At 35.8% G+C, this 26,848-nt stretch overlaps 2 long non-coding RNA genes across 2 annotated transcripts in view; one reads left to right on the top strand and one right to left on the bottom strand.

Moving 5' to 3' along the window:
* LINC02294 (long intergenic non-protein coding RNA 2294) overlaps positions 1-6,828 on the top strand; it is a 46,626-nt gene extending 39,798 nt beyond the window's left edge. The window contains exon 4 of the long non-coding RNA NR_110033.1: positions 6,624-6,828. This is a non-coding gene — a long non-coding RNA (long intergenic non-protein coding RNA 2294). The remainder of the gene's footprint in view (positions 1-6,623) is intronic.
* NOVA1-DT (NOVA1 divergent transcript) overlaps positions 1-26,848 on the bottom strand; it is a 207,821-nt gene that overhangs the window by 24,145 nt on the left and 156,828 nt on the right. The window contains exons 4-6 of the long non-coding RNA NR_147061.1: positions 2,444-2,528; positions 1,705-1,841; positions 115-185 (exon numbers count right to left, since the gene is read on the bottom strand). This is a non-coding gene — a long non-coding RNA (NOVA1 divergent transcript). The remainder of the gene's footprint in view (positions 1-114; positions 186-1,704; positions 1,842-2,443; positions 2,529-26,848) is intronic.

The following is a 26,848-nucleotide window of genomic DNA, read 5'->3' as shown; positions in this document are numbered from 1 at the left end:
AGCCAAACTAATTGAATTTAAACCTACTCAGAGGTTGTGTTAGTTAGAAGAGTGAACCCTGTTGGAGCAAGTCATTTTAAAATCCACCCAAAATTTGAAAGAACTATTACTTACATAAGATAATCCTATGGATGGAGAGGAGCAGTGCCATGAATATCAAGAGAAAAGCAATAGACATCCATCTTCTATTAGGAGCTCAGCAGGGAAAGGAATAAAAGCAGAGTCAAGATGCATTTTCCATGGGGCTGGTTCAAATTCTGTCATAAACCCTAAGGCCATATTTCAACAGCTGTGGCAAAATTTTTTATAGGGGAATGATTTGACATTTGAAGAGTTATCTTTCCAGTCTCTTCCGTGTAATTCTGTGATGAAACAACAAACTCAGGCACCCTGGAGAGGGCCTGGAATATCAAAAAACCAATAGATTGTGGATTCAGACAAACCAGACTTTAAGTACAAGCATAGCCATTCACTACATGAGTTACCTTGGAAAATCAGTTAACTTTTCTCAGCCTTAGTTCTTCCTACAGAAAGAGAATTCACTAAACAAACAGAGGCATCAAAGGTCATGTACCCAGCAAATATTTTGAAACATAATAGGCATTCAATAATTATTTGTTCACTCATCTCCTTTTCTTCAGATATTATCTTCACCCTAATTTTTATGCTATTAGCTACTGTTCAAAAACTTCAGTTGCTTCATGCGATTTTGCCTTCAGTCTCGTATATTCTACTTTTATCTCAAGGTGCTCATCAGTTTGACCATATAATATATCTTTCGAAATACCTCAAGACCTTCTCTCCCCACAACCTCACTCCATTCTTCCTCTAGGGCTGGGGGAAGAACAGAACAATAGACAAATGGAATTAATAAGAATAGGCTATTGTACCAGAAGGTGGAATTTCTGTTGGGAAGAATAAAGGAATCATAATGGCAGCTAGACCCATGCAAACACACTCCTGTCTCTCATTAAATACTCTCCCCCTTAGAATTCCATGTGGCTGATAGGTTTCTTTTCTTATTGGAAGAGAAACACCCACAACTCTGGAGGAAGAGTTCAGGAAAAAGGAACTAAGAGACAGGATAGTGAGGCCCATACATTATTTAGGGCAAGGTAGTCCTCATGATACATATGAAGTACCGGTTTGTTCTCTGGAGGGCTGGATACATAAGCATTTCAGAGCCAAATCAGTAATTATTCTTTTTCTTTTTGTGAAATGATATCTGTGCACATGGGACTCAAGTTGAGATGGTCAAGGGGGGCTGCAACTGCTGTATGAGACAGGTAGAAATCTCAAAGTTTTGATCCTGTCCACATGCTATCACTGCCCTTCTAATAGTTACGTGAATGTAGCCTAGCTTTCTTGAGTTACATACAAAAGTTCACAATATTATAAAATATGATTTTATACCTTTACTAAACCATAAAGGTTTAGTACCTTATAAAGAAATTTTGAACTTCTTTCCCAAAAATGAGTATAAAATATTTGTTCATATCATTTACAAAAACTCTCTTAGGTTACACATTCAGGTAACTATTTATAGACACTAATTTTCGATGGACCAGTACGGTCAGCTACACAATAGCCCCTCAAAATATTTATATCCTAATCTCTGGAATGTTTGGATGTTTTCTTACATGGCTAAAGGAATGTTGCAGATGTGATTTAATTAAGGATCTTGAGGAGGGGCAATTATCTTACCTTATATCATGGACCCTAAATGTAACCATCAGTGACCTTATATGGAGGAGACAGAGAGAGTTTGTTACAGGAGATGATGTGAGGGTGCTGCTGATTTTGCAGATGAAAGAAGGGGTCCGGAGTCGAGGCATGCATCTCTAGAAATGAAAAAGATAAGGGATCACATTTTCCCAGAGAACCTCCCTAAGGAATATGGCTTTGGCGATACCTTCGTTTTGTCCCAAAGAAACCCACTTTGAGATTCAGGCCTCCAAATCTATAAAAGAATACATTTCTGTTTCAAGTTGACTAAATCTGTGGTAATTTGTTACAGCTACAATGGGAAGCCAATAAAGTCAGAAATGTTCTAACCAAATAGCAACTGAAGATTAAACAATTTATAATTTGAGTAGGTGAACAGAAACTAAAGCTTTTCCCAAAACCTCCAAACTTGATTAGCTGCTTTCACAGCATAGCATAATCCTCTTTCACTGCATCTCTCACATACAGTGAAACTTAATTATTTAGTTGTCTCTCTTCTCCAAAAACCAGAAAGTCCATGAGAGCCTGGTTTCATACCTGCCTTGCTCATCTCTGTATCCCTAAAGTCGAGCACAGGAGCTGACACATAGCAGCATCAATAAACATTTGTTGAAACAATGAATATGTGAATGAGAAAATGAATGAATAAATAAATTGCTTAAGAATGGTGCCAAGCAAGGAGAAGCAAAATGAGGCAACACAGGCAAAAGAGAATTACCTTACACAAGTAAACTGTTGTCAGTATAGGGAAGAAAGCCAATGGATTCAGGGGATTTTTTCATGCTCCTCTTGATCATCTTTTGCTAAGTTTCAAGAAGCAAAGCACAAAAAGACAGCCAAATGAAATCAAAGTTTTGTATTATTTATAAACTTTTAAACAGACCTTAAATTATAAAATGTAAGCATTTATAGATGAGCGTAGGATCAAACATTTAAATATTTGAAAGCAATCTAATTCAAATTGTATTTTAAATACATTTCATTGTAGTATATAATAGAAATACTATTATTATACTGTTATATTGTGTTATTATATGGTCTAAACGATGATTCTTAGTAACAAATTACAAATACAGTACTTTTACCATTTTACACAAGCCAATAATCAATAGCCGAATTCAACATGGAATTTGTATCTTTATACTCCGAATGTTTCATGTACCACAAATGGTTGTGTTTCCTGTCTCCTCACAGGAAAGACAAACAACATTCACTAAAGTTTTATTCTCCTTGACAATCAGCACTTCTCTAAAACACACTCAAAGACATAGAAATGGGTGATTCTGCTTTGACAGCACCTAAACCATCTGCGTGGTAGGGTTGTTTGTCCAGTGACTTGCTCCTTGCAATTACTAATATTGCTCAGTAAAGAGGGCTAAGTTTTTCACTCTTTCTAATATATGTAAAAACCTTGTTTGTAAAATATTTTACTATCAATATATGCATTTCAATCATAGCCAGTCTATGTATCCCAAGCTAAATTCTTTCTTCAAACAGAAGTTCATATCCTGGAATATTTTGCGCCTGTTAATTTGAAAGCAAAATTTGGATCTGAAACTTTTTTTAAATTTTTATCTAAGCACTTCTTTGCAGCTGTTCAAACTAGTATGATAATATGAAAATCACATATCATTTATTCAGGAGGGAAATTAACTTTTATAATAATATACATTTCAGAAATTTTCCATGTAGATAAACATTGTTTTTGTCCCCAAATTTAGATTCTCTTTACAAAGATTTGTTCTGTCACTGAATTCTTCTTTCTGTAGTTTGAGAGCTATATATGAATACACAAATAAACTGGAGCAGTAGTCATTCATTGGAAAGCAATACTAATACTAATATTAATGCCATTTGTATCTTACAAAGAACTTCTCAGAGTTAATTATAATATATAGTATTATATGCAAGTAATTATCACTTGCATATAATATAGAAAAGTATGCCTGCTTCAGTATAACCAAAGCTGAATTTGAAAATATTTCCAGCACAAAATCCATTTTTAAGTATTGGTGATCATTAAAAAGTCAGGAAACAACAGATGCTGGAGAGGATGTGGAGAAATAGGAACGCTTTTACACTGTTGGTGAGACTGTAAACTAGTTCAACCATTGTGGAAGACAGTGTGGCGATTCCTCAAGGATCTTGAACCAGAAATACCATTTGACCCAGCAATCCCATAACTGGGTATATACCCAAAGGATTATAAATCATTCTACTATAAAGATACATCCACACGTATGTTTATTGCAGCACTGTTCACAATAGCAAAGACTTCGAACCAACCCAAATGCCCATCAATGATAGACTGGATAAAGAAAATGTGGCATATATACACCATGGAATACTGTGTAGCCACAAAAAAGGATGAGTTCATGTCCTTTGAAGGGATATGGATGAAGCTGGAAACCATCGTTCTCAGCAAACTAACACAGGAACAGAAAACTAAACACTGCATGTTCTCACTCATAAGTGGGAGTTGAACAATGAGAACACATGCACACAGTGAGGGGAACATCACACACTGGGGCCTGTTGAGGGGTGGGGGGTTATTGGAGGAATAGCATTAGGATAAATACCTAATGTAGATGATGGGTTGATGGGTGCAGCAAACCACCATGGCACATGTATATCTATGTAACAAACCTGCACATTCTGCATATGTATCTCAGAACTTAAAGTATAATTAAAAATAATAGAATAAAATAAGATAAATAAAGATTGTTAGCCATTAACAAATGACTCTTTAAGAAACAACACACATTTTGATTAGGAGCAAGGAAATGTGGCGAAGATTGTAAAAATTCCCATCAGATTTTAACATTAATACATTGGTCAGGCTAAGAGTTAAATCAATGAAGGATGAGTGATGAGAAAACTTCAAGTATACCAAGAGAATCTGGGCTAAAGTACAGAACCATAACAAAGAAGATCTGCCAAAGAAAAGGAAAGAAAAAAAATCACAGAATGGTACCCTCAATTTCACTGGTCATCTGCTAGAATATTTGTTTTAAGATCTTGATTTCTGGGTTTAAAAGATCACCAAGGCTGGGCATGGTGGCTCACACCTGTAATCCCAGAACACTGAGAGTCCAAGGTGAGCAGGTCACTTGAGCTCAGGAGTTCAAGACCAGCTTGGGAAATAGGGCAAAACCCCATCTCTACAACAAATACAAAAATTAGCGAGGTGTGGTGGTGCGTGCCTGCAGTCCCAGCTACTTGAGAGGCTGAGGCAGGAGAATTGCTGGAGCCCAGGAGGTCGAGGTTACAGTGAGCCATGTTCGTGCCACTGCACTCCAGCCTGGGCAACAGAGTGAGACCTCCATGTCTAAGGAAAAAAAAATCATCAATTTTCTTCTCACTCTAATACATCATGGTAATAATGACCTGAATTATGTTTCTGTTAAGGCCATCTTTTAACAGGAAGATAAACGAGAAAAGAATAACTTCACATTAACACAACGGTACTTATAAAATTTAAAAAGTGATTATTATCAAGCTTCCTATTTCCTTTATAGATACAAGAAGAAATACAATTCAATTTGGAGTTGACAAGAAATTGTAAAAAAGCAATCGCTTATTTTGAACATGGACTCTGTAAACATATTTGAGCTGCTGAATACTTCACATGTATAGCTCTGCCAGATTTTAGTGGTCTTTAGTCTCAGTTTGGCACCTCTAAAGTTCACACAAACTGTTTCAAAAGGGAATTTGCAAAACAAAGAAAGATCAAAGTACATTTAAATATGTGGATGAGGCTGAAGTATCTGTCAGTGGAAAAGATCTCCAAGATAGAAACTGTGATCTTTAAAAGACAGTTTCTGTTCATCAGCAGAACCCCAAAAAAAATCGTTTTGTTCCAGAAGATGAAACCAAGGCATTTTACAGTTAGATTTGGACGATGGGCTTCCTAATTAATTCATGACTTCTAGCTCTGTATGGTAACATTTCTAATCCATTTCTTGAAGAAGAATAACACCACACAATGAAAAGTTGAATTTATTAAGAGGCCAACATTAGGAATGGGCAGAGACTTAGAATTCATGTAATAAAACTATCTCATGTTACAGGCATGGAAAGGAAGGCGTAGGGAGGGAAAGTGACTTGCCAAAAAGATGACACAACCTTTCCTCTAAAAGGAGGAAAGAGACTCCTCATCTCCATACCCCCTGCCAAGTCCCCCTTCCCCTAATATTAAAGCACAACAAAGAGCAATTGAATGTGAGTGAATGATCTACCATACGTCATACTTGAGTTTTGGCAGCATTTCACTACTTTTTGAAACCATAGTGATCTGAGTTACTAAAGATTGACACTACTATTTCGGTGAAGTTTATTGTTCACATGAAACCATTACAAAGTATAGTAAGAGACAGAACAAATTTGATTTTGAAGTTGACTTTTTGTGCTTAGAGCATGTGATGAGGGAAAATGTTCTGACAGTTCAAGCTTACTCAAGCTTAATGACAGATCTAAATTGGAGCTTGGAGATAAAAGAAATTCTTTAGTGATGCCTCAGTTGTCATTGATTGCTATGAGCAATTTTAAAGCTATTCAAGATGAGAATTGCCAGCTTGGTTCTGAAAGGGGAGAAAGTGGTACATAAGATTAGAGGCTGGTACAAATGCTATCTTGGTTTAAAAAGAGAGAGGACAGTTTAGTATCACACGCATAGGTGATAATCGTGACTACATATAGACATTTATCAGCAGGAAATGACTCAATGAATGTTTAGGGTAGTGTAAGCACCAGCTGTTCTGAGGAAGATGAAAATGAAAAGCAGCTTCACTTATAAGGATCACCAGCAGCAACATGGCTGGGGAGGGAGGGGGAAGAAAGTGGTTGCTAAAGCTGAGAGCTAATAAAAAATAATAATAAACTATCTTCATAAATTACAGGATATCGTCCTTCTGCCTGCTGAAAATCATGGAATTAAAAAGATATAGAGTCCATTCTGAGAAATTCAATTTCATCAAATGGAAAGTGAAAGCATCTCCAATTCTATATATACACTGAAGCCTTCATGCCCCATTTACACTACTTGTATCGAATCCCGTAATAGGTTTCTGCCTATTGAGTCCAAATAAATGGTGGTTATCAAAATGTTCTATTTTTAACTGATCTTTTAAGTTGCTTTCTCTTTAGTATTTTTCCTGATAAAATATCCTAATTCCTTAAGGCTGTTAATTAATTGATGTGCTTTCCCCTAAATAATAGTATAGTTCATTTAAAGGTAGGAGCCAGAAACAGAAACATTCAGCAATCTTTAAGATGTTTTTTTTTTTTTTTTTTTTTTTTTGACAAAAAGAGTTCTATCTACAGGTAAGATAGAGGGCCCCGGAAAATAATATAGCCCCAGCGGAGATTTTTCCACTGGAGCACACATCTCTTACCTGTTTGTTATCCTCTAAATATACTGTGCATATTCACACTCAGTGCCTTTTTAAAAAATGAAGCTGTTCGTCTACATAAAAATGGCTTTTCCAAGACTATTCACCTAGTGTATATAACTCATTCTCTAATTCTTAACTCCAACGTCACTTTAGTGACCGGAAATCACATGTCAGAGAGAAATAAATATTCTGCCTTTGTATTTCCATAGCACACACCTCCAACATAGCAGTATCACATACAATTAATTTGTATGTCCATTTCCTTCACTACAAGAAGTGCCCTATAGAATATTATTTGTCCTGTATCTGTCACAGGAGTTAATGTATTTTCTAGGACATAGCAAGTACTACAGAATGTTTGTTGAATAAATGAATAAAAGTGGACTTTATCAATAGGATTGTATATTTCTTTGCTTTCAATGGGAATTACAATAAAAAGTAAAATCCATCTACAGACAACCTTGCTGGTGAATTTTTATTTCACATATATCACAGGAATGTATATTTTACCTTAATATGTCCTATGCAAATATTTCATTATGTCTATTTTCCGCCTATTTATTGTTAACAAAGAAATTGCACAGGAATTTATGAGTGTGTTTGTATTATGAGATAAATAACATTTCTTCCTTTGTTTTGCAGCAAAATAGAAGAACTCACCAAAAATGGTATTTTCTGTTGACCTAGACTAGGACTGATAAACATAGAAATGGAAAAATGATTTTATGGAAATGACAGAATCCACCTCCTTTCAGAATCATACGTGGGTTAGGGAGGAGAGGAAGTGAATCACAGGAATTCCTGTGTTGTCTCTCGCTGACGTTTCACCTGCAATATCATAGCTTTCAGTTACTGTGGTGAGATTCAGCCATGTTACCTGTACTACACCATACTGTCTGCCAAAGTATTTCCTTACACAATTTTTTTTATAGGAAACAAAAACTACTCTTATCTATTTATTTTTATCATATGGGTGGACCTGGGCAGAAAAATGCAGATGGTTTTGGTAAAGTGAGCTGGCAAAACCCAGTGTAAATTTCCTAATAAACAAAAGCAAGTATTTTACAGTGTAAATTGTGCCACATCAGGGAAATCTCAGAGTCCACAGATGTTGCAAATTACTAATAAGATATCCAATCCCAGCAGTCTGGGTATATCCAGTTGTTACTTGTTTGTTTGTTTTTCACTAGAAATGATCCTACCAGCAAAATGCTGCTGTTTTCTAAATTCTTGTTCATTTTGGCAACGTGCTCTAATAAGAGAGGAAAAAAACATTCATTGAAATAAGTTGCCACGAGGGTGTTTGTTATCTGTGAAGGTATATATAATGTCATTGTCTTTATCAGAGCAGAAATAGTTCTGACCTTCTCAAGAATGTATACAATCGCTGGGCACGGTGGCTCACGCCTGTAATCCCGGCACTTTGGGAGACCGAGGCAGGTGGATCACGAGGTCAGAGTTCAAGACCAGCCTGGCCAACACGGTGAAACGCCGTCTCTACTAAAAATACAAAAAATTAGCCAGGTGTGGTGGCGTGTGCCTGTGGTCCCAGCTACTCGGGAGGCTGAGGCAGGAGAGTAGCTTGAACCCAGAAGGCAGAGGTTGCGATGAGCTGAGATCGCACCACTGCACAGAGACAGAGGGAGACTCCATCTCATTAAAAAAAAAAAAAAAAAAAAAGAATGTATACAATGTATATCAATCTAAAAATGAGATGGTTAAACCTACTTAACATGCCTTATTTTTATCCAAATAAAAGTGAAAGGATCCAACATAATATTTGAAATTCTACCATAGGATATTTTATTAGAAAAAAATAGTTTTTTAAATAATGTTTATTCTCATCACAAAATTACTGAGAAGTAAAGCATTTCTAAAGTTACATTAGAACATTGTAATTAATGTTTGTGTTAGAATGATGGTTACCAGAATCTGGGAAGGGTAACGGAGGAGTAGAAGCAGGGATGGTCATTGGGTACAAAAATATAGTTAGATAGAATGAAAAAACCTAGTATTTGATAGCACATCAGGGTGACTACGGCCAGCAATAATTTATTGTACATTTTTAAATAAATGTGACTATAATTAGATTGTAACACAAAGAAAGGATAAGCGCTTGAGGTGATGGATACACCATTTATTCTGATGTGATTATTGCGCATCGTATGCTTGTATCAAAATATCTCATGTGGCCGGGTGCAGTGGCTCACACCTGTAATCCCAGCACTTTGGGAGGCCAAGGTGGGTGGATCACGAGGTCAGGAGTTTGAGACCAGCCTGGCCAACAGGTGAAACCCTGTCTCTACTAAAAATACAAAAATTAGCCTGGCACGGTGGTAGATGCATGTAATCCCAGCTACTCAGGAGGCTGATGAGGCAGAGAATTGCTTGAACCCGGGAGGCAGAGGTTGCAATGAGCAGAAATCACACCACTGCACTCCAGCCTGGGCAACAGAGTAAGACTCTGTCTCAAAAAAAAAAAAAAAAATGTGCCCCACAAATATATACCCCTACTATGTACTCATAAAAAAAAATTATAAAAATTATAAAAAATAAAAAACAAATGCTTCTCTTTTCTAGTAGTCCTCTAAAATTATTTCCAGAATGATATTTATGCTGTAACAAAATTAGGCAAAAATTGATAAAGTAGAACTGCAATTTGGGTCTTGTAATAATAAATTTGCCCTGTGGTTTTTCTTATATAATGAAGTGGAATCTTCTAGTACCCAAGCCACTCCAGAAGAGCAAGTTACCTAGCTTTTGGGAAAAACAAAACAATAAACCTTACAAACCACAGGTAACTTAGTAAATTAAAAGAGAAATTATGAATATTATTGAGAAGCATGAAAGAGACAATGCAATCATTAATTTATGTTCAGAAACAAATACCAGCTCTATACATAACTAATTATTGATAATAATAATAATTTTTCAAAATTTTCCTTTTCTGATAAATTTCTGGCCATTAATTACCATTCCAGTTTGTGTCCTTGCCTACTTTACCATACAACAGACTCTTAATTTTGTATTGATTGAACAATTTAATTATTGATTTAGTCTGTTTTTCTTCCATTGGTCTGAACATTCTGGAACTGATGCTGTATTTTCACTTACCCTGAAATTAACTAATAAGAAAGTCTGAATTATAACATTTTAATGCATCAAAATTGTTCTTTTAACAAATATTCTCTTAACTTTGAAGAAATAGCAATTATATTCTCAAAGTCTTTGTTTCATTAATGCTGTGGAAATGAGGCTTTATTTGTTTTTAACAGGAATATATTGTTGATTTATGGGGGCATATTTTTGGTTCTTTTTTTTTTTTGCCCTTGTTAATTAAAAAATAGGAAAAGGGATGGGAACGGTGGTTCACAACTGTAATCTCAGCACTTTGGGAGGCTGAGGCAGGCGGATCACCTGAAGTCAAGAATTCGAGACCAGCCTAGCTAACATGGTGAAATCCCATCTCTACTAAAAAAAAAAAAAAAAAAAAAAAAATTAGCCAGGCATGGTGGTTCACACCTGTAATCCAAGCTACTCAGGAGGCTGAGGCAGGAGAATTGTTTGAACCAGGGAGGTGGAGGTTGCAAGTGAGTCGAGATCACGCCACTGCACTCCAGTCTGGGCAACACAGTGAGACTCCATCTCAAAAAAAAAAAGAAAAAAATGAGGAAACATGTATATATTGAAGTAGTGTATTTGCTCTTGCAATAGGTATATTACTTGTTTTTTAAAATCTGATTCATCATTCAGGCAAATTATTATGTAATCTTATGTTTCCCTCTAAATTATATTAATACGTGCATTCTAATATATATAAAAAAAGAAAATCTGATTATTATACTTTCAATGGCCAGGCCTATATACCCCTCAACTTTTTCAACAGTAATGTTTGTTTGTTTAATCTAAAACAATGAAATAGCTAAGGTTTATAAACAGAGAAAGCCCTTATCAAACCTAGAAAAATTGGATTGATAACTGTAACCAAATGATAATTTGATATGAAATTGAATTTTTAATTTCGATAACATTTAATCTTTAGTTTACATAACAAGTAGTATTCAAGATTCAAGAATATATGAAGGTATGGTGGAAGAGATTGTTCTGGGTGGAAGAAGGCACTGTAAATAACAATTACCAAGATACTGCTGTGAATGCCTTTCTACTGTTCATTATAGCAAACTGCTGTAGAATTTTCACTATATTCTGGGGAGCATCATGAAAGAGATTCTGGAGTCTGTGATCTTTTGCTGGGTCACTAGTGATCCATCAGATATGTACCCCTGGGGAGACACATATTCCTTGATGTGAAAGTTAGAAAATACTTCAACTGTATTACTTGCTGTATTTTTTTTTACATTTTAAAAATGGAGCTTGACTTTTCATTCCTAGCACACTACAGGACATGCCTGAAACTAATGGACTTCAGACTCATCTAGCCAAAATAATGCAGTCATTTATTTTAATCTGTAGTGTTTGTGGGGTCATGTCCTTCTTCACATTCCTAATATTTTTATTTATAATATCTCTTTTTTCCCCTTTGATCAGTTTTTCAAATGTTTACCTATTTTATTAGTATTTTTAGCAGATGTATTTTAATTGTACTAACAATTTTCTTTGTTTGCTTGCTTCTTTGTATATTTTTATTTCCTCAATGTCTAACATTATATTTGCTCTTCATTTCTTTTATATTATTTGGATTTATTCTGTGTTTCTTTCCCTTAATTTTGGAGTTGAAGGCCCAGCTCATTTATCTCAGTCCCTCTGGTGTAATGACATCACATCAGGTAATTTTTAGGCCAATATCTTTCTCTCTATGTAACACTTGGTTATATGTTGTAAATATTGAGGTGTGGTAAATTCAATTCCAAATATTCAGCAATTTTTATTATTATCTTTTTAATTCATCTTTTCTTTTTAAAAATAATTTTAATATTTATTGTAGATTCAAAGGTTATGTATGCAGGTTTGTTACCTCAGTATTTGCATGATGCTGAGGGTTGGGATGTGATCGATCCTGTCGCCCAGGTAGTGAGCATAGCACCCAATAGTTACTTTTTCAACCATGCCCTCCTCCTTCCCTTCCCACTCTGGTAGTCTCCAGTGTCTATTGTTGCCTTCTGTATGTTCATGATTACTCAATTTTTAGCTCCTACTTATAAGTGAAAACACGCGGTATTTGGTTTTCTGCTCCTACATTAATTTGTTTAGGATAATGGCCTCCAGCTGTATCCATAGTTGTTCAGATGTATAGTTTGTGAATATTTTCTCGCATTCTGTATGTTGTTCATTTACTCTGTTGATAGTTTCATTTGTTGTGCAGTAGCTCTTTAGTTTAATTAGATTTCCATTTGTCAATTTTTGTTTTTGTTGCAATTGCTTTTGAGGACTTTGTCATGAATTTTTTTCCTAAGGCCCACATCCAGAGGTGTTTCCTAGGTTTTCCTCTAGGATTCTTATAGTTTGAGGTCTTATATTTAAATCTTTAATTCATCTTGAGTTAGTTTTTGTATGTAGTGAAAAATAGGTGTCCAGTTTTATTTTTCTCCATATGGCCAGCCAGTTATCCCAGTACCTTTTATTGAATAGGGAGTCCTTTCCCCATTTGACTTTGTCAAAGATCAGATGTCTGTAGGTATGCAGCTTTATATTGGGGGTTCTCTATTGTTTTCCATTGTCTATGTGTCTGTTTTTGTACCAGTATCATGCTGTTTTGGTTGTGGTAGCCTTTTAATACAGTTTGAAGTCAGGTAGATGATAATCTAGCAATTATCCCGTCCTGTACTCACCCTTCAACCCACATAAGTTGCTGACAGATATATGTTTCTGGTCCCACAGTTACTTACTCATTTTCTTGTCCAAGCCAGTTATGTATTTTCCACATTTCTGAGCACAGGCCTCTTGAGTTGTGCTTTGTCTTAGCTATGTCTACATCTTTCTTGGACACAGAAAACATTTGAAATTCTGGCTTCCTCAGACACGCCCCTCTAGTTATACCAAGTGTCCATCTGTATTATCTCCTCATCAAAGGAAAAATGAGAAGACCACATCTATTGTGGCAATTTGCTGGTGTATAGGAGAGGATCAAGGCAAAACTGTGTTGGTGCACACATGCACGCACATACACACACACACACACACCTCAATATATAAGTAAGTCCCTCCTCATTAAGTCTTCTTACCATATCTACTCCCACTCTGTTTTTTCTCAGAGCAACGGAAGTCTTATTTAATCTGGAAAGAAAGGAGGCAGGAAGGAAACTTTTTCTGCCTTATTTTGTATTTCTTAAAAAAATGTATTGTTTATGAGGGTGGGTGTGGTGGCTCAAACCCATAATCCCAACACTTTGGCAGGGCGAGGCGGGTGGATCCCTTGAGCCCAGAAGTTCGAGACCAGCCTGGGCAAAATGGTGAAACCCCATCTCTACTAAAAATACAAAAAACTAGCTGGGTGTGCTGGTGTGTAACTATAGTCCCAGCTACTCAGGAGGCTGAAGTGGGAGGATCACCTGAGCCCAGGAGGTGGAGGCGGAGGTTGCAGTGAGCGGTGACTGCACCACAGCACTCCTGCTTGGGCAACAGTGAGACCCTGTCTTCTCCAAATATATATATTTCATGGGATGAACTTTATGCCCAGCGTTCTTCAGGGCTTAAGCTTTTGAAAGTAAGTATCATTTTCTTTTTTTTTTTTTTGAGACGGAGTTTCACCCTTGTTGCCCAGACTGGAGTGCAATGGTGCAATCTCGGCTCACCGCAACCTCCGCCTCACAGGTTCAAGTGATTCTCCTGCCTAAGCCTCCCGAGTAGCTGGGATTACAGCCATGTGCCAGGACACCCAGCTAATTTTGTATTTTTACTAGAGACAGGGTTTCTCTATGTTGGCCAGGCTGGTCTCAAACTCCCAACCTCAGCTGATCCGCCTGCCTTGGCCTCCCAAAGTGCTGGGATTACAGGCGTGAGCCATCGTGCCCGGCCATTTTCTTTTTTCTTAAAAGAGGCTTCAGGTGTCCAAAATCTGTAGACTCTCCTTGAGGAAGTAATTGTCTCATCAACCTCAAGGTATGAGAGGGAGAGTAGTTCTGAGTAATAGAAAATCCTAGAAGTAATGTAGAAGCTAATATATTAAAAATATGGTTCTGACAGCATACAGTAAGAGAGCAGCACTAATGCTTTTTATTTGTGTTAAAGAAAATTTGTAAGAATTAAGACATACTTTATCCCAATTCTAATCTCCATTTCAGGATATCTCTGATGAGTGAATGATTTTCAGAACTAGGTAAGCTTTAAGGAGGTTATATACTGTTATGTAAAGGGCCTTCAAAGCTCTGAAGGTTGTAAATATTTTTTTTTTAATTCAATAAGAATAAAAATAAATTTTCATTCCCAAACACAAAATTTTGCTTTTACAAGGGAAACATACAAGATCCATATGTTAGAGATTGTATGTTATACTTTCCAGACAACCAAGTAGAAAATAAAAACAATCATTTATTTGTGGCTCTTCTTTGATAAGAATTTTTCCAGGATTTTAAGTAGAAATCAATCAAGTTTGGCAATATTAGGCCTCCACATCCACAAGACTGACATAATCAATGTTACCCTAAAACTCTGTAAAATACAATCCATTTTAAGCATATTAGCATATCTTCTGGAAGGGATATGAGACTGAGAAAGAGACAATATTTTTAGTAAATAGTGGCAATCAAACATTAAGAATAATTGCAAAACAAAGCGAAAGAATATCTACCTCTAGGGTGAAATGAAAACTTGAACATAAGTTGTTTTTTCCTTCTGTGTAGGAAAAAAAAACTATAAGTAATTTTTAAAATTTGCATTAAATGTATTAGAACCTAGTTTTAAAACTGGGACTGTTTAAAAATATGTACCACAAAGAAACAACATCAATTTAAAAATCAAAGATTCAGAACCATTTAAAAGTACCTTGTATTTCGAGGCTCTTAAAACTGTTTGATTTTAAATTTTGTTATAAAATATAAGCTCTATGAGGACATGGGCCTTTTCTAGGCTTTTCCTCACTGAATTTTCACTGCTCAGAACATTAAATAAAATATGAAAATCACTGCATAAATCCCCATAGAATGAATTAAAATATACGATTTTACCCTGACTACATGTTTGTGACACAATGAAGGTATTTTGTTCTTACTATTTCATAAGCAGAGATGCTAAGTGATATTTTTCAAATAGCACACAGTTATTTAGCATCAGACAAAAATGTTATTAAGTTTTACATCAATGCAACATTCTTTCTCAAGAGCAGAACAAGATTTATGAGGCTACTAAAGGGTTACATATGTACAACATTGAATGAGTCAAAACTGCTATTTTAATTCCATACAGAACCTGAAATTTTGTCAGATTCAGAGAAAAAGTTTTGGTTTGTTTTCCTTTAAATCTGTATCTATTGAAATATAACTAACATTTGTTCCTGAGCAGTTTGTCCATCAATTCACTCATCCATCCATTCGTTCATCCTTTTTATCTTAATGATATCACTCAGCACTAAAATAAAGGAACCATACAAATAAAATAAAGTTGATGGAGTCTGAACTATCACAATAAATAACCTAACTTGCTTTGTGCTTAAGAGTACTATGACTTTGTTATGCCTTTGAGCTTTTTACAGCAAGAAATTATTTTGTCACATTTGCTTAGTTGTAAGGAGGGCCAATAAAATCTCAACAATTTGATGATTCCCTAAATTTTCACCATTCTCTATCATGTTTCAAGCAACTCCCTTTTACTTTACCAGGACAGTTTGATTAGGTCATTCCCTCCATTTACACTGCAGGATTTCATTCATTCCTGGGATAAGAGGAGAATGAACACTTTAAGAAGAATCAAGCCAAGCCATATGGGTTTCTCTATGAGCTCAGGATTGTGAAGGAAATTAAAGGCATATTGAATGAGAAAAAGTTGAAGAAAACTGGAGGTATTTAGCAGTGAGAAAACTCTAAGACCAGGCAACGTCATGGTCTTCAAATATTTGAAAGGTTGTAAGGTTCCAAAAAGGAATATTTGTACTGGGGATAGAAGTAGTACTGGTGGCAGGAAGGTTAAGAATACAGATTGCAGTTCAATATAAGGAAGTAAGAGCTATTCAAATACAGAACGGGTTATGCAATTCAGGCCATGTGGAAATCTTCACTATTTATTTGTCACTGGACTTATCCAAATGTAGGTTAGAAAACCTCTTGATGGGGTTGATGTAAGCCAATTCAATCATTACATTAAGGTTTAGCTTTCATGACCTTTAAAGTCCATTCCAACCCTGAGATTCACCAAGCCTCAGAAACCCACTCCACTGGGAGTGCTGCCTGCCAAATTAGTCTTTGCATGAAAGGCACAAAATGATGTCAATTGTTGCAGCTGCAGTGAGTCAGCTGGAAACTGCCTGACAAAGGCAAAGTTCAACCTAGTTACTAAACCCCAACTAATTTTAAATGATTTTAGCTTTCTTAGATGGTTCCAGAATTACACACTCAATTAATGCTGTTGATTTCAGCCAAGTCTCCACAAAAATAAGTGAAAGCAAGGCAATTATTTGGATAAGTTAAACCAAATAAACTAAATCTTTCTATTTTTAACTCTATTTTCAATGGTCCTGAAAACTCAGACCAGAAGTATATCATGATTCATGATATAGAGGAATTGAATTGGAAAGTAGAAGCTCTCAGGCCAAGTTCCTGCCATATTTCACTGTATTTATAAGAGAGGAAGCTTCAGAGTGAGGCTGATCTAAGTTTGAATACTGGTTTAACCATCATTAGTTATGAGACCTTGCAGGAGCTATGATATCTCTGAATCAGTAATGTCATCTACACTAACAACTGCAACTACCATTATTGGAAGCCTGCTATGTGCCTGTCACTGGACTAGAGTTTCAAATACACACTTATTATCTTTACAGTATTTCTATGAGATGAGCATGTTAATTACATTTTAGAAATGAAGAAAATGACTTTCAAGGAGATAAAGTCACTTCCCCAAGCCATACATTTAGTAGGAATCTTATGAGGGTGAACAGCACTTTTTAACATTTCATTGTCAATTTTAGCCAGTGAAATGTAAAAATGTCCTGTAAATCTTACAGGAGGATTTATTTGAGAGAGGGGACATGTTCATCTTATGCCCTGCCTCTGTCCTGCTGTCCAGAAGTTGTCTGTGTTGGCTAGAGCTCAAGTCACTGGCTAGCTCTGGTAACACACCTAGGGATGAGGAAGAAGCACACCGAAAATAATCTGGGTCCCTATGATTTTGAGCAACCACCATGTGTGTCTACACCAGCTCATAATAAAGTTCAACACGATAGGGAAATGCACTTCTTTCATTTTAAGCATTGTAAAACATTATTCATATGAGTTTTAGTATAAGGATGCTGACCTTAGTTATCCTAAGTGATAAACCACATATCCAAATAAATCATGTTTCTGGAGCAGAGGCTCATGCTGGGGCATAATATGAGAGATGTTTGATTAAACAATATGCAGATAAAAACTACAGAAATCAAAACGCTATCTAGCAGCCTAAAATTGCTGTAAGTTATTAAGTAGCCAACTGTGGTAAGTTTTGGGGCAGATATAACTAAGCAGCAGCATATATACAAAATAAGTTGGAGTTGAGGACAAAAGCTTGTCTTAATAAGCTGTAACATTGGCTAATCAATTCTTCCTATGATATTCCTCTAGAATCTGGTAATAATAAAAACCAGTCACCAATTAATACTAGAAGCCAGTAATCTCATCCTTTGATTCATTTACTTAGATAATTGTGCCATATTCTCCAACGCGCCATGCCTGCTATATGTGCTCAAGTCCTCAGGACTGATTTAGAGACACAGAAATTGAAAAGCATAATTCCTGTCCTCTAGTGAAAGAGACATAAAATTAAACAAATAAACAAACAAATACACAGAAATGAGTGATGTGATAGAAATATGCACAAGATGCCTTGGAAGCCCAGAGGAGAAACATTCCCTTCCCAGATTATGGGGAGGGATGGGGATTAAAGACTCCTCAAAAGAGGTGACAATTGACCTGAGTCCTCAGCAATACATAGAATTTAACCAGGCATATAAACAGCAGAAGGGTACTCTAGACAGAGTAAAAAGTCCGTACAAATGCAAAGAACTGACAGCTTGACATATTTGGGCTGGTGTACACACATTAATATGGAATAGAGGAAAAGAGGATATGAAGAAAGGGCTGGATAACGAAGGCTCATTATACTAGCCAGAGGAGCTTAAATTTTATCCTTGAAACATTTAAGGTATTTCATGAGCACTTAAATGATCAAACGTGTTTGCTAAGATTACTCTGGGAAGAGTTTGGAGGACAAAATTGCATTGTAGATGTAAATTGAAGGTACTTTAGAGATATTTAAAAGAACTAAGAAGAGTCTACCAAATTTAGCAGTCTAAAGGCCATTTGGTTTGAAAAGTGAGAGAATTTCAGGGGTGTGTGAAAGCCAACCCAAGGCTGACAAGAGTAGAGGATTGAATGAGCAATGAAGTGGAGAGGAGTGGAGACTAACTTTTACAATCATGTGCTGTATAAAGATGTTTCGGTCAATGCTGGACTACATATATGATGGTGGTTCCATAAGATTCAACGGAGCTGAAAAAGTTATATCACCTAGTATTTACTGTACTATAATTTTTATCATTATTTTACAGTGTACTTCATATATATACATATACATATATATACAATATATACACACATATATACATGTGTATATATATAAAATATATAATATATATTAATATTATATAATATATATATATATATATATATATATATAAAATGTTAACTGTAACACAGCCTCAGGCAGATCCTTCAGGAGGTATTCCAGAAGGAGGCATTGTTATCATAGGAGATGACAGCTCCATGGATGTTATTGCCCCTGAACACCTTCCAGTGGGACAAAATGTAGAGGGAAAGACAGTGATATCGATGAGCCAGACACCGTGTAAGCCTAGGCTAATATGTGTGTGTGTGTTTAACAAAAACATTAAAAAGCTTATAGAATAAGGATGTAAAGAAAGAATATTTTTGTACAGCTGTACGATGTGTTTGTGTTTTAAGCTGTTATTACAAATGTTTTAAAAAATTAAAAAGTTTTTGAAGTAAAAAAGTTACATCAGCTAAGGTTAATTTATTATTAGAAAATAAAAATAGCTTTAATAAATTTAGTATAGCCTAAGTATACCATGTTTATAAAACCTACAGTAGTGTACAGTAATGTCCTAGGCCTCCACATTCACTCAGCACTCTCTAATTCACCCAGAGCAACTTCCATTCCTGCAAGCTCCATTCATGGTAAGTGTCTTATACATTTTTTAATGGTAAAGTGATATACATTTTTTAATGGTAAAATGGTAAATGGTAAGTGTGCCATTTTTAAAATCTTTTTTTAATTTTAATTTTTTTTTTTAATTTGTATTTTTTGAGACAGGGTCTCACTGTGTCACTCAGGCTGGAGTGCAGCGGTGCAATCACAGTTCACTTCAGCTGCTGCCTCCCAGGCTCAGGTGATCCTCATCAGCCTCCTGAGTAGCTGGGACTCCAGGTGCATGCAACCACACCCAGCTACTTTCTTTGTTTTTTATTTATTTATTTATTTTTATTTTATTTTATTTTTTTTTTGTAGAGACAGGGTTTTGTATGTTGCCCAGGCCAGTCTCTGACTCCCTGGGCTCAAGCGACATGCCCACCTTGGCCTCCCAAAGTGCTGGGATTACAGGCTTGAGCCACCATGCCTGGGATAAATCTTTTGTACTGCATTTTTCTACACATTTTCTATGTTTAGACATGTTTAGATACGTAAATATGTACATTGTGCCACAGTTGCCTACAGTATTCAGTACAGCAACATCCTGTATAGGTTTGTAGTCTAGGAGCAATAGGCTATATCATATAGTCTAGGTGTGCAGTAGGCTATATTGTCTAGGTCAGCTGCTTCCAACCTTTTCAGCACTAGGGACTGGTTTCATGGAAGACAGTTTTTCCACGGACTCAGTGGGGGCGGAGGGGAGGGTAGTGATGGTGTCGGGATGATTCAAGCACATTACATTTATCGTGCACTTTATTTTCTGTTCTTATCACTTTGTAATATACAATGAAATAATTATACAACTCACTATAATGTAGAATCAGTGGGAGCCCAAAGTTTGTTTTCCTGCAATTAGATGGTCCCATTTGGGAGTGATGGGAGACAGTGACAGATCATCAGGCACTAGGTTCTCATAAGGAGCACACAACCTAATCTCTCACATGCACGGTTCACAATAGGGCTCGCGCTCCTAGGAGAATCTAATGCCACCATTGATCTGACAGGAGGCAGAGCACAGGCAGTAATGCGAGCAATGAGAAGTGACTGCAAATACAGACTAAGCTTGGCTCACTGCCCACTGCTCACCTCCTGCTCTGCGGCCTGGTTCCTAACAGGCCACGGAAGTGGCCCAGGGCTTGGGGACCGCTGGTCTAGGTTTTTGTAAGTACACTGTGTGATGTTGACACAATGACAAAATCGCCTAATGTTGCATTTCTCAGAAAGTTACCAGTGCAACGCATGATTGTAGTTTTCCATCAAAGCAAAGCTGCTTGAATTGAGACCATATTCAAAAATATGTTTCAGGAAGAAAAGTAAAAGGAGTGTGTCTTTTTCCAAAACTAGAGAGAACTGAAAATGTTTATATTGTGGTGGGGGCAGGAAAGTCTGTAGAAAGATGAGAATAATCACTGAAGGCAAGACCATGAGCACTTAAGGGAAACGGATCCTACACAAAATATGCAGTACATAATATAGTCAGGCAATAGAATTGTTCATGAAAAGGGACCCCAGGCATGAGTGGAGTATTTAGGTTTAAGGAAATTGAGAACTTTATCATTTGCTTCCCTATCCCAGATGTAAGCCAATTGGGAGAGTCAACAAGAAAAAAAAATCACAGTCAGCAGAAGGTTTGAACAGCCATATTACCTGTGAGATGTTTTATATTTGATCCAAGAACTAGAACAAAGAAATGTATTCTTTTCTTCCCTATTCTTATCATCTTATTTGTCCTTTTCTATGCAAATAGAGGTTGGGATAGAAATAAAAAACACTTAAAGACATTTTTATTCATCGTTAGGTAGACTTAGGCAAAACAACTTCCTGAATGGAATTATAGACAGTGTTTTAAACATTAAAATCCAACACAGGAGAAAGAAGGGGGGAGGAAATTCAGAAAGAAACTGTTAGTATTATTCATAAATGCAAAGACAATATTGTCAGATCAACAGTAGGAAAATTAGAAATGATTTTGAGAGATTAACACCTGGGGGGAAAGGTCTCAGGATTAAATCCCAGAGATTAGAAACAGGATTCTCAAAATGCAGTTTTGACAATGGCGAAGACTAGAGTGGTTTTCATCATTATATCCCCCATATGTGATGCTGTAACAGCACATAGCACTCACAAATGACTACTATTTTTATATTATTATGAAGCGTACAACATAAGCCTCATACCTTCAGTATGTTTAACCACATTCTTAGTATGGCTAAGTATGGGCTATCAGTTCTGTAACGCTTTTTTTTAAAATTTATTTTGTAATTGACAAATTAAAATTATATATGTTTATGGTATACAACATGATGTTTTAGAGTATATGTACATTAGGGAATAGCTAAATCCAGTTAATTAATATATGCATTACCTCTTATACATATTCTTGGTGATAAGAACACTTAAAATCTATGTTCAGCTATTTCCAAGAATACAATATATCATTACTAACAATAGTCACCAGGTTGTACAATAGATCTCTTGAGTTTATTCTTCCTATCTGCACTATTGTATGTTTTGACCAACATCTCCTCAACCTCCCACCGTCACCCCAGCTCCTGGTACCACCAATCTACTCTCTACATCTAGGAATTCAATTTTTTAGATACCACATATGTGATATTCTGTGTTATTGGTCTTACTTGGCCTGGCTTATTTCACTCAATATAATGTATTCCACGTTCGTCCATGTTGTTACAAATGATGTGATTTCCTTCTTTTTAAAGGCTGAATCATATTTTATTATGTATAAGTCCCAGATTGTCTTCATTCATCCAATGATGTACACTAGGATTGAGTCTATATCTTGGCTATTGTGAATAATGCTACAATGAATATGAGAGTACGGGTATCTCTACAACATACTGATTTTAATTCCTTTGGATTCCCAGTAGTGGGATTGCTGGATAATATAGTAGTTCCGTTTTTAATTTTTTTGAGGAACTCTCATACTATTTTCCATAATGGCTGTACTAATTTACATTCCCACCAACAGGGAGCCAGGGTTCCCTTTCCTCCACATCCTCACCAATGCCTATTATCGCCCATATTTTTGATAATGGCCATCCTAACAGGTTTGAGGTAATATCTCATTGCAGTTTTAATTTGCATTTCTCTAATGATTGGTGATGTTGAGCATTTTTCATACATCTATTGACCATTTGAGTGCCTTCTTTTGAGAGATTTTTCAGCTTCTTTGCCCATTTTTCAATCAGGTTATTTGCTTTCTTGCTATTGAGTTTGATATGGTTTGGCTCTGTGTCCCCATCCAAGTTTCATCTCGAATTGTAATCCCCACGTGTCTAGGGAGAAACCTGTAATCCCCAAGTGTTGAGGGAGAAAGGTAATTGGATCATTGGGGCAGTTCCCCTGTGCTGTACTCCTGAAAGTAAATGAGTTCTCACGAGATCTGATTGTTTTATAGGTGTTTGGAAGCTCTTCCTTTGCTCATTTCTCTCCTTCTGCCTTTTGAAGAAGGTGCTTGCTTCCTCTTCGCCTTCCACCATGATTGTAAACTTCCTGAGGCCTCCCCAGCCTTGTGTAACTGTGAGTCAATTAAAGCTCTTTCCTTTATAAACTACCCAGTCCTGAGTATTTCTTTATAATAGCAGTGTGAGAACGGACTAATGTAAAGTTCTTTCAGTTCCTTATATACTTTCGATATTAACCTCCTATCATATGCACCATTTGCAAATATTTCCTCCAACTCCATAGGTTGTTTCTCCATTCTGTTGATTGTCTGCTGTGCAGAAGCTTTTTAGTTTGAAATAATCCTATTTGTCTATTTTTGCCTTTGTTGCCAGTACTTTTAGGGTTATTTCAAAAAATTCTTGCCCAGGCCAATGTCATTTATGGTTTTGTATGGGTTTTAGGATTGTCTCTTCTGTGAAAAATGTCATAGGAATTTTTATAGGGATTGCATCGAATCTGTAGATCACTTTGGGTAGTATGGACTACTTTAACAGTATTAATTCTTCCAACCCGTGAATATGGGATATCTTTTCAATTATTGTGTCTTCAATTTCTTTCCTCAATATTTTGTTGCTTTCAGTGTACAAGTCTTTCACCTCCTTGGTTAAACTTACTTATAATTTTTTTTTGTAGATATTGTAAATAAGATTGTTTTCTTGATTTCTTTTTGGATAGTTCTTTGTTGTTGCGAAGAAACATTAGTGATTTTTGTATCCTGCAACTTTGCTGAATTCTTTTATTTGTTCTAACAGTTTTTTACTGGAGTCTTTTGGATTTTCTATACATAAATAACGTCATCTGCAAACAGTGACCATTTAACTTCATCCTTTCCAATTTGGAAGTCTTTTATTTCTTTCTCTTGCCTAATTGCTCTGGCTAGGACTTCCAGTACTAGAATATTAATTAGTATGTTGAATAGAAGTGATGACAGTGGGCATCTTTGTCTTGTTCCTGATCTTAGAGGAAAAACTTTCAACTTTTCACCTCGAGTATAATGTCAGCTGTGGGTTTGTCATATGTGACTTTGATTGTGTTGCAGTACAATCCTTCTATATCAAATATATTGGGTTATTACTATGAAAGAATGTTGAATTTTGTCAAATGCTTTTTCTGCATCTATTGTGATGGTCATATAGTTTTTGTCTTTCAAATGTGGTATATTATGTTTATAGATCTGTGTATTTTAAGCTATCCTTTCATTCCTGGAATAAATCCCATTTGATCTTGGTGAATGGTCCTTTTAATGTGCTGTTTGATTTGGTTTGCTACTATTTTGTTGAGGATTTTTGTATTTGTGTTCATTGAGAATATTGGCCCCCAAAATTCTTGTCTTGAAGTGCTCTTGCCTGGCTTTGGTATCAAAATAACACTGGCTTTGTAAGATGAGTTTGGGCATTATTTCCTCTTCTTCAGTTGTTTTGAAGAGTTTGAAAGGGTTGGGAGTAGTTTTCCTTTAAATGTGTGATAGAATTCAGCTGTGAAGCTATAAGATCCTGGACTTTTCTTTAATGAGAGACTATTACTCATTCAATCTCCTTACTCGTTATTTTTATGTTTAGATTTTCCATTTCTTTATAATTCAGTCTTGGTAGGTTGTCTGTGTCTAGGAATTTATCTATTTCTCCTAGGTCATCCAGTTTGTTGGCATATAATTGCTTTTAGTATTTGCTTATGATCCTTTATATTTCTGCATTGTGACACTTTCTAGAGTCTACAGCTTCTGAAGGTGCTGGAGATACAACGGACGGTTAGATTCTCCAAGGGAGTGCTCATTTATTTATTTATTCATTTGAAAATTATTTAGTAAGCTCTACTACAAATCAGACATGGTATTAGAACTAGAAATTCAGAACTCAATCAAGTTGCACTGTTTGTTTTCTATCATACCATCATATAGTTGTACCACAATTTCTAGCTATGAAGTGAAAGCCTGAAACAGCTTCTCTAAGATGGCAGAAATTGAGTGAGATTTTACAATAATATAAATTGTTTACAGCAGTATTTCTTAAATCTAAATGTGCATGCACTTGGGGATAATGTTAAAATGTGGACTCTGATTCAATAGGTCCAGGGTGTTTCATGGACCATACTTTGAGTATCAAAAATTCATAGTAATTTAATATAGGTGGTATTAATTCGAAAACACATTTGAAATTTTGTTTCTATAGTTTTTCTCTTCATAATATTTTGTCTTTTTGCTACCTTTTCTTAGTGTTTTTGTTTGTTTTCTAGTGCAATGGATAATTGCTGTCTCAATTGGAAAGAGTATACTTTGAATATATTCTTCAAACAAAAATATGCCATAGGTCACTGGTTACTATGGATATTAAAGTGTGTTTTAATATTGTTGGGCTCTAAACACTGCATAGCTTAGTTCCTTCAGGAAAACAAAATGCTCAATGATGTATTTTCTCTTTTTATTAAAGCATTATATTTTTAACATTGGAGGGAGCACATAAATGCTATCTTATTTTCTCTTGATAACCAAATTGTTCTACTTTTTTCAGTACTTAATTAGAATAATCTCAATCTTCACTGGAATAATAAATTTGTCACTAATATTGTGTGTGAACTTGACCAGAAAGCTAGAGAAAAACTCTTTTTCTTATTTGAGTTATATATATATATATATATATATATTTTTTTTTTTTTTTTTTTTTTTTTTTTTTTGAGATGGAGTTTTGCTCTTGTCACCCAGGCTGGAGTGCAATGGCACGATCTTGGCTCACTGCAACTTCCGCCTCCCAGGTTTAAGCAATTCTCCTGTCTCAGCCTCCTGAGTAGCTGGGATTACAGGCACCCATGACTGTGCCCGGCTAATTTTTGGTATTTTTTAGTAGAGACTGGGTTTCACCATGTTGGTCAGGCTGGTCTCGAACTCCTGACCTCAGGTGATCCACCCGCTTCAGCCTCCCAAAGTGCTAGGACTACAGGCGTGAGCCACCATGCCCGGCCTAATTTTTAAAATTTACCAAAAGACTACATACAATTGTCACCCTAAGATTTTGCATATTGAAAACAAAGCAAAAACTCAGGAACTATTATTGCCCAACCAACCATTGATAGTCTGAATATAACAATCCTCATTGTTAAAATGAGGGTATAATAGTCTGCTTAATTCCCTGAACCTATAGCTCTCTAAGTCTAAACTAGAATTACTAACATTCCCATGAATATTTAGTGGCCTCACCCCCATTTATTAGCGCAAGATGTAGTGTCAGAAGCTTTGGGTCATTATTTATCATTAAACCCTCCTGAGTGTTGGCCTCTCTTAATTTTAATAGCTGAATCACTGATTGTGAGGTGACTTAGTCTGTATTTGGTACTTCAAGATACTAAGAAACTGGATTTCCTAATCTTTAGCTTGACTGTCCCTTGGAAAAATATGCAATATCTTCTCCTAGATAAATATCAAAAAGCAGATGCTAGATCATCAAAGTTATAATCTATTCTCTTTCCTACTGCACTGACACCCTTGATTTGAACTTAAATCAGAGTATTGGCTAATCCTCAAAATCTGCCTATATATTCCTCCGTAAACGAAATTTATCAATTTAGATTTAATTTTAATACCTGTGTTCAAATTTCCCATATTCCTGGTATAAATTCTTTATCTAATACTGCAGACATACCTAGATTTCTAATCTTAGACATTCCAACATATTCCCTTCCCCTTGCTGCCACATCTATCTTATCCCTCTGTCACTCCAGTTCTGATTTTGATACTAAGGCCATTTCTTTTTATCCTTAAAAAAAAAAGTAGAGTACCTACTGTGTTCTAGGAACTATCTTACATATAGTAAGATATATCTATATCTTATATACATATATAAGTATATAAACTATATACATACAGTAAGATACACAAGATATTACTCATCTGCACAAAGCTTATTTTTCAAATGCTATGA

Source organism: Homo sapiens, chromosome 14 (assembly GCF_000001405.40).
Source record: "Homo sapiens chromosome 14, GRCh38.p14 Primary Assembly".
Lineage (NCBI taxonomy): Eukaryota > Metazoa > Chordata > Mammalia > Primates > Hominidae > Homo > Homo sapiens.
Note: the sequence above shows the minus strand (reverse complement) of the source record. Positions and strands in the feature narration are given on the sequence as shown.